The 14619-nt window shown below is 40.7% G+C and overlaps 1 protein-coding gene across 5 annotated transcripts in view; it reads right to left on the bottom strand.

The window, feature by feature from the left end:
• Window positions 1–14619, bottom strand: part of SPMIP2 (sperm microtubule inner protein 2) — a 189752-nt gene that overhangs the window by 138603 nt on the left and 36530 nt on the right. The window contains exons 1-4 of one of the 5 annotated variants that reach the window (XM_047449676.1): window positions 10477–10585; window positions 6866–7005; window positions 5262–5480; window positions 3297–3806 (exon numbers count right to left, since the gene is read on the bottom strand). The exons of 2 other annotated variants lie outside the window; for them this stretch is intronic. In XM_047449676.1, coding sequence (XP_047305632.1) covers window positions 3297–3360 — 64 coding nt within the window. In that variant the 5' untranslated portion in view covers window positions 3361–3806; window positions 5262–5480; window positions 6866–7005; window positions 10477–10585. Of the gene's footprint in view, window positions 1–3296; window positions 3807–5261; window positions 5481–6865; window positions 7006–10476; window positions 10586–14619 lie in introns of those variants that run through there. 2 more of the 5 variants (XM_017007809.2, NM_152543.3) reach the window with 2 other exon arrangements.

Below are 14619 nucleotides of genomic sequence, written 5' to 3' on the forward strand. Positions count from 1 at the left end.
TATTTTTACAAGAAAAATACGAGAGATGTGAGTCAAATGTGGCAAAATTTTGATAAATGTTGAATATGGGTGACAGGTAAGTGGGAGTTCATTGGCGTGTGTTTTAAAATAGTCACAATAAAATTTGTAAAAGGCAAAAGCAAAAAAGGATTCATATCTACTTCTTTGAAGTAATAAAAATGATTTTAAAAAATATTGATGGGGGCCGGTTGTGGTGGCTCATGCCTGTAATCCCAGCACTTTGGGAGGCTGAGGCGGGCAGATCACCGGAGGTCAGGAGTTTGAGACCAGCCTGGCCAACATGGTGAAACCCCATCTCTACTAAAAATACAAAAAATTAGTGGGCATGGTGGCTCACGTCTGTAATTCCAGCTACTTAGGAGGCTGAGGCACGAGAATCACTTGAACCCTGGAGGGAGAGACTGCAGTGAGCTGAGATCATACCACTGCACTCCAGCCTGAGCAACAGAGGGAGACTGTCTCAAAAAAAAAAATTGTTGGGCTTTAAATACGTATACATTGTTCATAGTATATACAATTCTCTAAAGCTTGTGGCATTAATAAGTTATATATCTGTTTGTATCTTTCACCTGCTAATTCTGCTCTCTCTATATATACCACATGAAAATAAGAGAACAAGAAAAATAATTTATGCAAAGTATTCATACAAATTTGTAACAGTAAAAATTAGGAAATTATAAAATACAGGAGGCTGTGAAGCTAAGTATTATATGTCAGTATAATGAAAGGCAGAAATCTATCAAAGGTGACAACAATTTGAACTATGTAAATACATAAAACTAAGTATATACACTGGTGTAAGTTAGAAGAAATTTTAAGTGTTAATTAAGACTCTTGCACAGTTCCAAATGACAGAAAACCCAACCCAAACTGGCTAAGGAAAAGAGGAGATTTATTGGCTGATGAAAATTAAAACTTTAAAAGGCACAAAAATCTCTTCAAAATAGATTATAGACCTAAATGAAAACGTAACATTGTAAAATGTCTAAAAGAAAACACAGGATAAAAATCTAAATGACCTTTCTTTTTTTTTTTTTTTGGTAAAAAAGTCAAAAACAGACAATACCAAAGGCTGACAAGGACACAAAGCAACAAGGACTCTCATTCATTGCTGATGGACATGCAAAATAGTATAGCTAGTTTAGAAGACAGTTTGGCTTAACACAGGATCCAGCAATTACTCTCCTAGGTATTTACCAAATTGATTTGAAAACATATCCATGCAAAAGGCTGCACATAAATGTACATAGAAGCATTTCTCACAATTGCCAAAAACTGGAAGCCACCAAGATGTCTTTCGATAGGGGAAGGGATGAACAAATTGTGACACATCCACACAGTGAAATATTATTCAGTGGTAAAAAGAAATAAGCTATCAAACCATGAAAAGATGTGGAGAAGCCTTAAAATGATATTGATGAGGAAATGAAGCCAATCTGAAAAGACTACATACTGTATAACTCCAGCTCTGTGACATTCAAGAAAAGGCAAAACTGTGGAGACAGTGAAAAGATCAGTGGTTGCCAGGAGCTAGGGGGAAAGGGGGAGGGGGGAATGAATAGGTGAAGCACAAGAGATTTTTTAAGTGGTGAAACCATAACGTATGGTACTATAATGGTGAATACATGGTCCTATTAATTTGTCAAGACCCCCATATATTTAATAGCATAAAAAGCAAACCTTAATGGATGCAAATTAAAAAAAATTATTTACGAGATTGTAGGATTTCAGGAAGGAATTCAGACTGTGACAAGAAAATCTAACTGTATTACAAGTGCATAAAACAACCTTACTGAAGAGGCTAGAAAGAAAATGTGCAGACTTAAGTAACTTTGGAAATGAATAGAGTTTATAAGAATAAAGGCAAAAGGAATTGCAGATAAGCAGTGTACTCTTGTTGACAAAGTCCTTCTCACAGGAGTAAAAAAGAGGTAAGAGTGAGGAAAGAGATGTTTTTCCCAAAGCCAAGTGAGTCACAAGAAGGGGAGTGGATGAGATGGATGATGAGCAACACAAATCATAAATGCCCACCATAAATATGCATTTGATTATTTTTCTGTAACATTGTAAAATATGCTCACACTTTGGAAAAAAAGAAAAAAAGGCCAGGTTCACGCCTGGAATCCCGACACAGGTGGGTGGATCACTTGAGGTCAGGAGTTCGAGACCAGCCTAGCCAACATGGTGAAACCCCATTTCTACTAAAAGTACAAAATAAATAAATAAATAAACAACCACATGTGGTGGCATGTGCCTATAGTCCTAGCTACTCGGGAGACTGAGGCAGGAGAAACACTTGAACCTGGGAGGTGGAGGGTGCAGAGAGCCCAGATCGTGCCATTGCACCCTAGTCTGGGCAACAGGGCGAGACTCTGTCTCAAAAAATAAATAATTTGGAAAAAAAGGAAATAAAATGAAGTTTAGTTTATGCCTTATAGACTTACCACAACTAGTCATCTTCTATTTTTTAGATATTATTATAATTTCACACACACTGCCCAAATCATTTAAAGTAAGCTGAATGAACAAAACTCAAACCAATCACTTTACTAGGTTTAATGCATATCCTGCTCAAATTTTTATCAAGCAAATATGTCAAGTTTATAATGTTATGAGAAGCTTAAATCAGTGTTAATAAAAATTCGATGAAAAGTATGTTTTTTATTACATCAAAGAAGTTTCTCTTGCACAAACCATAAAAGCTATGCTAATTCAAATATTCCTTTGTGAAAGTTACCTCAGATATAGTGACAACTGCTGTGTTAAAGACATGTTTATGGCAACAAGATGATGATGATCAGACTGAGTGGGCATAATGAGATAGCAGTATCATGTAAATTAAATGTAGGTGGGTTGGGCATGGTGGCTGATGCCTGTAATCCCAGCACTTTGGGAGGCCTATGCAGGCAGATCACCTGAGGTCAGGAGTTCAAGGCCAGCCTGGCCAACATGGTGAAACCCTCATCTTTACAAAAATACAAAAATTAGCTGGGCATGATGGCAGATGCCTGTAATCCCAGCTACTCAGGAAGCTGAGGCTGGAGAATCTCTTGAACCCAGGTGGCGGAGGTTGCAGTGAGCCGAGATCGCGCCATTGTACTCTAGCCTGGGCGACAGAGCGAGACTCTGTCTCAAAAAAAAAAACCCAAAAAACAAACAAAAACAAAAAACATATGTGATCATTGCATTGTTATATCCATTATATAAAAATCATATATGTGAGAGAAAAAGCAAATTTAGATCTCCTTGTGAAAGCAAACACAAAAACTATTTACCTGTAAAAATCATTTGTTTTCCCACAGTAGTAGATGTTGGCTTTTGGTATGATACAGATGCCATGGCTAAAGTCTTAACCGTGCTACTGGATTTTCTTCTTCGGCTTCTTCAAATCAGTTAAGCTGCACCAGAAAGAACGAAAGACTCTGCAGTCTTTCCTCTCCCTGCTTGTGACCTGCACCAGGTGGTTGCTAATGACTCTTTATGACAGGGAGATAGAATGTTCCTCCTTGCAGAGTTCTGCATTCCAATCTCCAAGAGCAGAGACAGATACTGCTATAGTCTTCCCAGAACTTGCATCCAGTAATAACTTTTCCTTATTTGTCAATATCAAGTCAGAATACACTTGTTCACAGGTACTAGATCCAGTTCCAGCTTATGTCCCAGATAATCTGGCAGGCTCAGTCACCACTGTCTTTCAACATTTCAAAAAGAATGTCTTGCAGAAATATGTTACAGCAAAAAACAAAAAGCCCCCACAAACCATGGTTAAATATATTTGACAAACACTGGCAAGATAAAATACAGTAAAAAATAACATTAATAAATTAATGAGATAATTACACACACACAAATATATATAGATATATTTCCAGTCTCATATTCCAATCCCTCCTTAAATAGTGCTTGTGCTTTGGTCATGTCAATTTACCTGTGGTTCTCAATCTGTGCAATGCTTTCTCATTGTTCTGAGCCTTTACACATACAATTTGCTCTTCCTGTAATGTTGCTATGCAAATATTTCTTGTCCTTTGACAGCCAAGGCCCACATCTGCTCTTCCAGGAGGATGTCTGCAGACACAGCTAAGTGCTTTCTTCTTCATGTCCCTTTAACCTCTATAGCACTGTGTTTAGATGTATCTTTTTAACTCACCACTTCAATTATTTGTCTATTTTATCGACCTCCCCACTAGAATCTGACTTCTAGGAGTTTATGATAAAAGTATACTTATTTATATTTCAATTTCCAGAGACTTGTATGCAATAAATAGTTAATAGATGTTTGTGGGATGAATAATTGTATGAACAGTAATTCTAGCTTGCACAGAAATATATCGGCTACCTGATAATCCATTGAAGATAAATTCTAACAGTAATTTTGTATTCAACATTAAATATATGGAGTTGTCTACTGTAAATGTAATATCTTTTATATTTTGAGAATTATAAGAAAAACACTATATTAACTCTGGAAAGGCTTACAGTAGGCTTATGGTAGGCAAAGAGATGTGCTACTCAGGTAGGTTCCCTTTCAAGGAAGGCTTGTAGCCCAGCTGGAGGAAGGACTGTCAGCAGACAGTGTCCAGCTGTCAGCACCTTCGGGGTCTGCCTTGGCTGCAGAGAGCTGCCTCCTCTGTCTGAGGTCAAGCCTTTTCCAGGGGAGCCTATGTCAGGTACTGAATGAGGTAGAGGTATAAAGACCAGTCATTTCTCACCAGGTTGGTCAAGGCTGTGTTGAGCCCTTACAGTTCTTCTTCTTCCTCTGATCAGTCCTGCTTCCTCACCTTTCCTTTCACAGGTATTGAACCCAAATAACCACCTTGCCCCCCACTTTCAGAGAACCCGACCTGAGATAACTAGACAGCATAAGCACATATGCACAAATGTATTATACAAGAGTGCTTCTCATTTTAACCACTCAGCCCTCCTAACCAGAAACTGAATATATTTCCCCAATGTGGGCAACTAGAGTCAGTCGCTGTTGTGTTACTGATCTTTGGTGTCATTTTCTTTGGTTCTGACCTGCATTATGCTCTTCTTTACCTTCCTATGGCCTGCTACAGTTTCAGAAGCTTTCCTACTCTTTCTGTTGTTAATTAATTCTGGTTCCTATAGTCAAGGGCTCTCTATCTCTAGCTGAAAGTATCTTTCTTTGAAAAGCTCCTAGTTGTGTCTTTGAAACTACCATTTTCCAAGGCGCCCAACTTTGAACATTCCTAGAAGAGAGAAGCCTGCTCACTCACCTGTGGTTTTAAGGATGCTGAGAAGAGAAAGGAAGAAGGAACCTAAATGAAGAAAGTAATTCTTTAGTAAACAAGGCAGAAAATAAATGAGATCTTGGCTTTTGTTGGAGGACTTCCCATTAACACTTCAGGGGAAATGCGGGCTTCTGCTTTGCCTTTGAGACTGTTACAAACTTTAATCTGTTGTAGGCTTAGGGTCAGACATTCTGATGGCAAAGGCTGGAGGGAAGGGAAAATATGGGAGAAGAACCAGGTTAGCTCTTCTCCATAAAATTATTCCACTAATTGAAGACATATTTAGGTTCATTTGTTTTGTGTTGTTTCAGTTTTTAGAAATTTAAAAATTTATTTCACAAGTAACATATTTACATAGTTTCAAAGTAAAATCCTTAATGGATATTCAGAGAAGTCCAGCTTTTATCCTTGTTACCTCCTGCTGTTCCTTCCTTTTTTTTTTTTTCTTTTCTTGCAGGAAACATTTTTAAAAATATAACTACAAGGCCTGGCATAGTGGCTTACACCTGTAATCCCAGCACTTTGGGAGGTCGAGATGGGTGAATTCCTTGAGCCCAGGAGTTTGAAACTAGTCTGGGCAACATGGCAAGACCCCCATCTCTACAAAAATTAGCTGGGCACAGTGGTCTGTGTCTATGGTCCCAGCTACTCGGGAGGCTTAGGTGGGAGGATTACTTGAGAGCCCAGGAGTTTGAGACTACAGTGAGCTGTGATCATACCACTGCACTCCAGCCTGGGTGACAGAGTGAGACCTTGTCTCAAAAACAATATATACACACACACACACACACACACACACACACACACACACACACATATATATATGTATGTATTTATGATTATATCCTCACCTTTCCTAAAGAAATGGCAGCATACTGAACATACTATCTTTTACCTTGCTTTTTTCTCTTAATCCATCTGGAGATCACTCAATAGCATTACGTAAAGATATTTCTCTCTCTCTCTCTTTCTCTCTCTCTCTCTCTCTCAATACAGCTGCAAAATGCATTTACCAGTTTATTCAACCAGTCCACTATTAGTGGTCATTTGGGCTGTTTCCAATTTTTTTGCTATTACAAAGATTGCTACAAAGTGTAGTTTTCTGCATACATCTTATATTTTTTGCAGACATCTTTGGGATAGATTACTAGAAGGGATAGTCCTGGGTCAAAGGAAAACACATATGTAATTTTGCTCAATGTTGCTAACCCTGCCACCATCATGGTTATGCCATTTTGTATTCTCATCCACAATACCTGAGAATGCCGATTTTTATACAGCCTCACCCACAGACTATGTGGTCAAACTTTCTAATTTTTTTCAATATGACAGGTAAGAAATGGTAACATAGTAATTTACACTTCTGTTCTTGTTAGTGTGATTGAACATGCTTTCATGTGCGTCAGGGCCATGTACATTATATGCTATGAACTATCTAGTCTTACCTCTTTTTCTATCAAGTTGTTGACTTTTTTCCATCCTACATTTTTTTAAAAATGAGCTAACATTCTAAAGAAACACATAAACAGAGAATGAAAATACAATGTAGTAAGAGTAATGATAAATGTAGTAATACATTTAGTAAATACCTGATTTCCCAGAGTCATGGGAACAGAGAGGAAGATCACTTGGCCGGGGCTGGGACGGAAGCTGAGGGCTGATGATGTGGTGAGGCAGGGTTTCCTTGAGGCAGCGATGTTTGAACTGTGTTGTAGAGAATGACTAGGATCTAGACAAGGGACAAGGAGCTGGAGGTTGGGGTGGGTGGTGAGGGCATTTTGTGCAAAGGGCATAGCTTGAACAAAAGGCTAGGAGGGGAGAAACAGCCAATAGCACTGTGCCTAGCAAAAATACAAGTTCCTCATTGCTAGAGAGTCATCACTAGGAGGGTGAGCTGGGAGGTGAGGCTGGAGCTTTGCTCTGTAGGTAATGAGGACCCCTGATGGTTTTATAGTCTTATTTATTTATTTTATTTTACTCTTTTGAGGCAGAGTCTCACTGTGTCACCCAGGCTGGAGTGCAGGGGCTCAATCATGGCTCACTACAACCTTGACTGCCCTGGGCTCAGGTGATCCTCCCACTTCAGCCTCCAGAGTAACTGAGACTACAGGAGATGGTGTCTCACCATGTTGGCCAGGCTGGTCTGGAACTCCTGGGCTCAAGCAATCCTCCTGACTCAGGCTCCCAAAATACTGGAATTACAGGCGTGAGCCACCACACCTGGCCCTCTGAAAGGTTTTAAACGAGCAGACACTGGTTGGTGTTGGGTTTAAATAGAAGACACCTGACTGTGTGGAGAATGGGCTTAAGAAAAGCGAGGAGTCTGGGGCCCAGCAGGAAACTGTTGAAGTGGCCCAGGGGAGTGGAGATGGGGCCTGAACTAAGCCAGGCACAGAGGAGACACATTTGGAGTGTGTATCGAAGAGTAAGAATGACCCCCAGTTTTCTAGTTTGGCTGACTAGTGAGTAGTGGTACCCCAAAATAACACAGAGAAAACAAAAGAAAGAAAACGGGGGCCAATGAATAAATTGATGGCATTGACTAGATGTGGATTTGTACATGCTGCACAACAGGCTAACAGAGCAGTTAAAATTAAGCCCAAATTGTCATAAAGTATTGTGACAGCGACTGAACTCATTACTGGGACTAAAAGTGGTCTCCATGAGCCACCAGATGCCTTTTGTTACGGAAAATCCCTATTGTTTATGAATCAATAGTTGCTCTTCTGATGAAACTCAGGGTTTGCTGCTCAGCACAGATGAGATGTTGGCTATTGTCTCGCTTCGATAATTGAATAGCTAATTCAGAGTTGATAACCACTTTACCAGTTACAACTTGGAGGCCAATGCAGTGGCCCTGTAAAAGTATCTTGTTTTAACATTTGCGAAAGAATCAAGTTATATATCTTAATGATATAAAAGTGATACAAATTAGAAGCTTTTATTATATAGCAGAGATATATCTCTAGATGAACACAGGTCAGAATGTACTACAATTACATAATAACATTCAAATATCCTATTATGAAGCACACTTGGTAAACTGGAAAGCTTTGCCACCGTTTAGCAGTGAACCTTATACTTTTAAGCACTATATGTATAGTACTTAAATATATATATGGTACTTAAATATGTGTGTGTGTGTGTGTGTATATATGTATGTATTTTTTCTTTTTTGGGACGGAGTCTCGCTCTGTTGCCCAGGCTGGAGTGCAGTGGTGTGCTCTTGGCTCACTGCAACCTCTGCCTCCCAGGTTCAAGCAATTCTCCTGCCTCAGCCTCCCGAGTAGCTGGGATTACAGGCACGTGCCACCATACCTGGCTAATTTTTTGCATTTTTAGTACAGATGGGGTTTCACCGTGTTAGCCAGGATGGTCTTGATCTCCTGACCTCGTGATCCGCCCACCTCGGCCTCCCAAAGTGCTGGGATTACAGGTGTGAGCCACTGCGCCCGGTCTGTATTTTTTCTTTTGAGACAGAGTCTCACTGTTGTCCAGGCTGGAGTGCAGTGGTGGGACCATAGCTCACTATAGCCTCAAACTCCTGGGGTTAGGAGATCCTCCTGCCTCAGCCTCCCAAGTAGCTGAGATTAGAGGTGTGTACCACCACACTTGGCTAAATTTTGTACATTTTGTAGAAAAAAGGTCTCACTGTGTTTCCCAGGCTGGTCTTGAACTCCTGGCCTCAAGATATCCTCCTACCTCAGCCTCCCAAAGTTGTGAGCCACTGCACCCAGCCTAGTACCACATATTTTTATGTCTTTTCCATGTATTCTATATTCAGGAAATAATCTGGAAAACACACTGAATAGAGCCACAGACTTGGCTTCAAATCCCAACAACTCGTCTGAGTAACATTGGCAGGTTGCTTTTCTATGAAATGAGAATCATTGTGCCTACCTATAAGTCAATTGGGATAATGGATGTAAAGTGCTTGCCACAGTGCCTGCTACATGGTATGTATTCAATAAATATCAGCTGCAATATTGGTCTCATCATGCTTCCCCTAAATCCTTGCCACCCACCCCATTCTTCCCTGAAAAAACATAGATGATTAATACAAATTTAAACAGCGACCATCATAACTTTACTTTTTGTATTTGAATTTGCAACACCAGCTCACAAAAGAGTCTGTAGTCTTCCTCTGGCTCATTTAACTCTAATTTGGGTAAGATGACGCTGAGAGTATAGTGGTGCTATTCCCTGCCGGGCCAATCAACCCAACTTCCCCCAGTTGTAGTTAACTTAATTGGGGATGATGCAACACTTAGGCTTTTTCTATGGACACACAGTTTTTAAAAATAAATACACAAAACATTATAATTTCTATCCTGTAATTGCTATACTACACATTTAAAAAACAACAGATAATTTAAAGCCAGTGTTATAGAAGCAATAATGGTCATATCTTATAAATGCATGAGTTGTCATCATTAAAAGCAACCCTACCTATTACTAAGACTGAACCCCTTATTTTTCCCATGAGCTGTCTGACACTGGAAGAGGTTAGTTGAGGAGTTAACCAAAGGTACCAGGGTAGTTGAAAATAGAACCACCACCACAACCAAAAAACCCCAACACTCCTGATTCTCAGTTCGGAATGTTTTTCTCTCTATTCTGCCTTGTAAAAGAAACTGTCATCTCATTCATGGTGTTGTGGATGTCAAAAGCCCTTGGAGATTGCTTTAGTGTTTTATGTGGTCTTTCTCCTCCCACCAGTTTAATTTTCTGGTGAAGCCTTTTTCACTGATCAATGAACAAATATAATTGGACACTTACTATGTGCCAGACACTGTGCTAAACACTTTCCCCAAACTTTTCTTGTTATCTGCACAATAGTGTTATGACACAGAATTATTACCCTGATTCACGAAGAGGTGAGTTCTACAGTTTAGTGTCAAAGTTTTGCCTTATTGTACATCCACGACAGAGAATGTTGATTCCCAAATCTGGCTAATTATTTTGGGTTCTTAATAACTGAAATCTAAATTTGATCTTCAACAAACATGTTTTTCAAAATGTTATTTTTACACGATTGAAATTCTCCCATATGAAAAACTGATCATAGTTAGAAACTATTCCCTCTGTGGGCTATTGTAACTTCCCAGCCTGTGAGTGCAAATGAACTGATTGTATCATTCAATCCTAATATTTTCCTAGTTTAGTATCTTTCCCACCCCTGTAACTATAAAAAATCAACCTCCTTTCAAATGTCTCCTCTCCTCCGTCCACCAGCTCAAGTCTCTGGAGGTCCCAGATGCCCACGCTTCCCTCTTTGCTCTCTTCGAGGCTGCTGCTCTGTAAGTTTTGACTTGGCTGCTGCTCAAACCTGTTTTATCAAGCCAGTGGAGCACTTCTCTACATTGGCCGTTGGCCAAAGTGAAGTTCTGCTAATCTCTGATCCCCAGATCACTCAACTGCCACTAGGCTTCTGGCTACTGTTCCATTCTGTGTATTGCCATTCTGACTTGGACTCCTTGGCTCAACGAGAAGGGAAACAAGTCCCTTCCACTATGAGATGCTTTCTTAGAGGGTCCCCAGAAGGTTTTCTTGGGCCCCCACAAAACAACACAATTTTGGGTGACAACTCTTTTAATTATTTAGCAAGCACACTACTGACTGGCTAGGGACTCACTAGGTACTTTTTTTATTTTGTTTTTGTTTTTTTGAGACAGAGTCTCGCTCTGTTACCCAGGCTGGAGTGCAGTGGTACAATCTCTGCTCACTACAACCTCTGCCTTCTGGGTTCAAGTGATTCTTGTTCCTCAGCCTCCCGAGTAGCTGGGACTACAGGCATGCACCACCACACCTGGCTAATTTTTGCATTTTTAGTAGAGACAGAGTTTTGCCATGTTGCTCAGGCTGGTCTCCAACTCCTGGGCTCAAGTGACCCACTTGCCTTGGCCTCCCCAAGTGCTGGGATTACAGGCTGTCATCTACCGCGCCTAGCCTAGGTACTTTTGATTTTAAAACTCCTCTACTCTGACCCCCAGGTCTTCTATTGAATCCAGGGCACCATGCCATTCTTATTCTTTGCTCCTCGTGAATTCTTTCTACCACTTAGCAAAATGTACCTGTGGAAATTTTCTTTCATCAGCACCCTTCTCCCTCACTAACTCCCTATTTTCTATCCCCTATCCAGTTTACCAAACATGTTTCGAGTTATTTTCCCTAGAAACTTCCAACTCCCTTTGAAAACACTGGATACAGTTAGCTGCCAAGAGGGAAGCAGAGAGGGAATGTTTCCCCAGTGCACAGCCAGAAACCAACCCTTCTTATCTTCCTGGGTAAATGCATTTTCATAGTGGAATAGAAATATTTACATTTATTTTTTATTTTATTTTATTTTTTTGAGACGGAGTCTCACTCTGTCGCCCAGGCTGGAGTGCAGTGGCGCGATCTCGGCTCACTGCAAACTCTGCCTCCCAGGGTTCACGCCATTCTCCTGCCTCAGCCTCCCGAGTAGCTGGGACTACCAGCACCCACCACCTTGCCTGGCTAATTTTTTGTATTTTTAGTAGAGACGGGGTTTCACTGTGTTAGCCAGGATGGTCTCAATCTCCTGACCTCATGATCCGCCCGCCTCGGCCTCCCAAAGTGCTGGGATTACGGGCGTGAGCCACTGCACCCCACCTTTACATTTATTTTTTAAAAATACAATTGAATGTCATCTAGAATTACTATGTAGTCTTCCATAAGCTCTTCTACAGTTCCTCCTTAGAACCAATGTCTGAAGTTGAGTGTCTCCTCTTCACCCAGCTTCCTGAGACTAAGCACAATTTACAGCAGGCTACAATCCAGGATTAGTTTCAGTGTCATACTTTTGATGTTAAAAGAGAAGACATAAGCTCTTAATATTTGCCATTCATTTGCCATGCCATAAAATGAACATTCAAATACGTGACTATTGATCCCCAAAGAGAGTCTTATAATTATAACATAAAAACAGCTCTTACCTTTTACCTGAAATGGATTATAACCAGGCTTATGAGCATTTGGGCCAGGATTAAGAAAATACTCCACTTTGAAAATTTTCGTTTTTTAGCAAATTCAGCAGTATTTCAATGAGAAAATTACTTTTCTTGTTGTATATTTTATCAAGATTTTTAAACTTAATCATTTTATTTAAACTCTAGTATAACATTTTTAAAATGTTATTTTCAGTGGCAAGGAAGTTTGAGCTGAAGGGGAGGACAACATCTGGGAAAGAAAACACAGCTGGGCACGGTGCCTGTAGTCCCACCTACTCGGGAGGCTGAGGCAGGAGAATTGCTTGAACCCAGGAAGTGGAGGTTGCAGTGAGCCAAGACCGAGCCATTGCACTCCAGCCTGGGTGACAGATTGAGACTCCATCTCAAAAAAAAAAAAAAAAAAAAAGAGAGAAAGAAAAAGAAAACACAAATGGGTCTGGGACCTCCTTTGTGTTGTAACCAGAGGCCCCTCCCCTCCCTACTATCACACAACCTAGATGGGAGAAGTTAAAAAAAAATCAAGTCAAAAGGCCCTGTATTAAGGAGAAATAATGTCGTGGTGGAGAATGAATTTGGGAGCTTTGGAACTGGGGGAAAAACAGCAAGATAGACAAGAAGAGTGTGGGAAAAATGGGGGTAGGTGGAGAGGGACACACAGCCCTTGGAAGGGGAGTTCGTGAGGGTTTTTCTGTGCTCCAGTCATCCAGGAGGAAAAGCCTAATTTTAATTTTATTTGTTACCTCCAATATAACATTTTTCAAGGTGACGAATGGGACAAGGGTGGCACAAGGCATTTTCTTTAGTGTGTTAAAGTCATAGCTGAGCTGGCTGGGCACGATGGCTCACGCCTATGATCCCAGCACTTTGGGAGGCCAAGGTGGACGGATCACCTGAGGTCAGGAGTTTGAGACCAGCCTAGCCAACATGGTGAAACCCCATCTCTACTAGAAATACAAAAATTGGTCAGTGTGATGGCAGCTGCCTGTAGTCCCAGCTACTCAGGAGGCTGAGGCAGGAGAATCACTTGAACCCAGGAGGTGGCAGTCGCAGTGAGCCGAGATTATACCACTGCACTCTAGCCTGGGCAACAGAGTGAGACTCTGTCTCAAAAAAGAAAAAAAAAAAAAGAAGTTATAGCTGAGCCCAGAAGTCTGGAAAGTTGAGGATTTCAGATGTAGATACATCTCATACAAAAACATATTGTAATAATCCAAATAAAATGGTAGGCCAAAGATAAAAATATTCCAGATAAAATATTTGAAAATAATTTGTCTAATTACTATAAAAAGTTTAATTACTCAAGGATTTGATTATTTAATCAAGATTTTTAATCTCAACTTTATAAAATGTATAAAAGCTAAGGTATTTTTGAGATACATTATTTATTTTGGATAACTCACTTTCTTAATATAAGTTGAAAAAATTGTTCTCATAACAGCTAACACTAAAGTTTCACTTAGGTTGAAACCTTTCTTTATTATTTTTAGGCCATTGAAAGTGAAGGAGAAGAAACCCATAGGGCATAGCCTAAAAGGGCCAGCCTAAAGGAGACAGTTTTAAACTTCTGCACAAAAGAAGTAAAAGGAATGTGGGGGTGGGAATAGCTATGAGAGAGAAAGGGTGAGAGAAGGCAGCCTGAAGAAGCTGGAAGGCTGAAACTGAACAACACTGGGGTGTTCATTATCTGTTGCTACATAACAAATTACTCTAAAATTTAGTGGCTTAAAACAACAAATATTTACCATTTCACAGTTTTTGTGGGTCAGGAATCTGGGCACTGCTTAGCGAGGTGCCTCTGGCTCAAGATCTCTCGTAAGATTGCAGGCAAGCCGTCAGTTGGGGCTGAGGTTTTATGTGAAGACTCAAGAGGGAAGATCTGATTCCAGGCTCTCTCACATGGTTGTTGGCAGGATTTGGTTCCTTGGAGGGGTATTGGAGTGCACTGTGTGCCTCTCCATAGAGCAGTTCAAAACATGGCAGCTGAGGCCGGGCACGGTGGCTCCTGCCTGTAATCCCAGCCCTTTGGAAAGCCGAGGCGGGCAAATCACTTGAGCTCAGAAGTTCGAGACCAGCCTTGGCAACATGGCGAAACTCTGTCTGCAAAAATTAGCCAGGTGTCATGGTGTGTGCCAGCTACTTGGGAGGCTGAGGCAGGATGATCACTTGAACTCAGGAAGTCGAGGCTGCAATGAGAGTGACTGAGCCACTGCACTCCAGCCTGGGTGACAGAGTGAGACCCTGTCTCAAGAAAAAAAAAAAAAGGGCAGCCGGCTTCCTTCAGATGGAGAAAATGAGAGAGGGCACCTGAGACAGAAGCCACGGTTATTTTGTAACCTAATCTTACAGGTGCCATTTCATCACCTCTGCCCCAT

This window comes from Homo sapiens, chromosome 4, assembly GCF_000001405.40.
Source record: "Homo sapiens chromosome 4, GRCh38.p14 Primary Assembly".
NCBI lineage: Eukaryota > Metazoa > Chordata > Mammalia > Primates > Hominidae > Homo > Homo sapiens.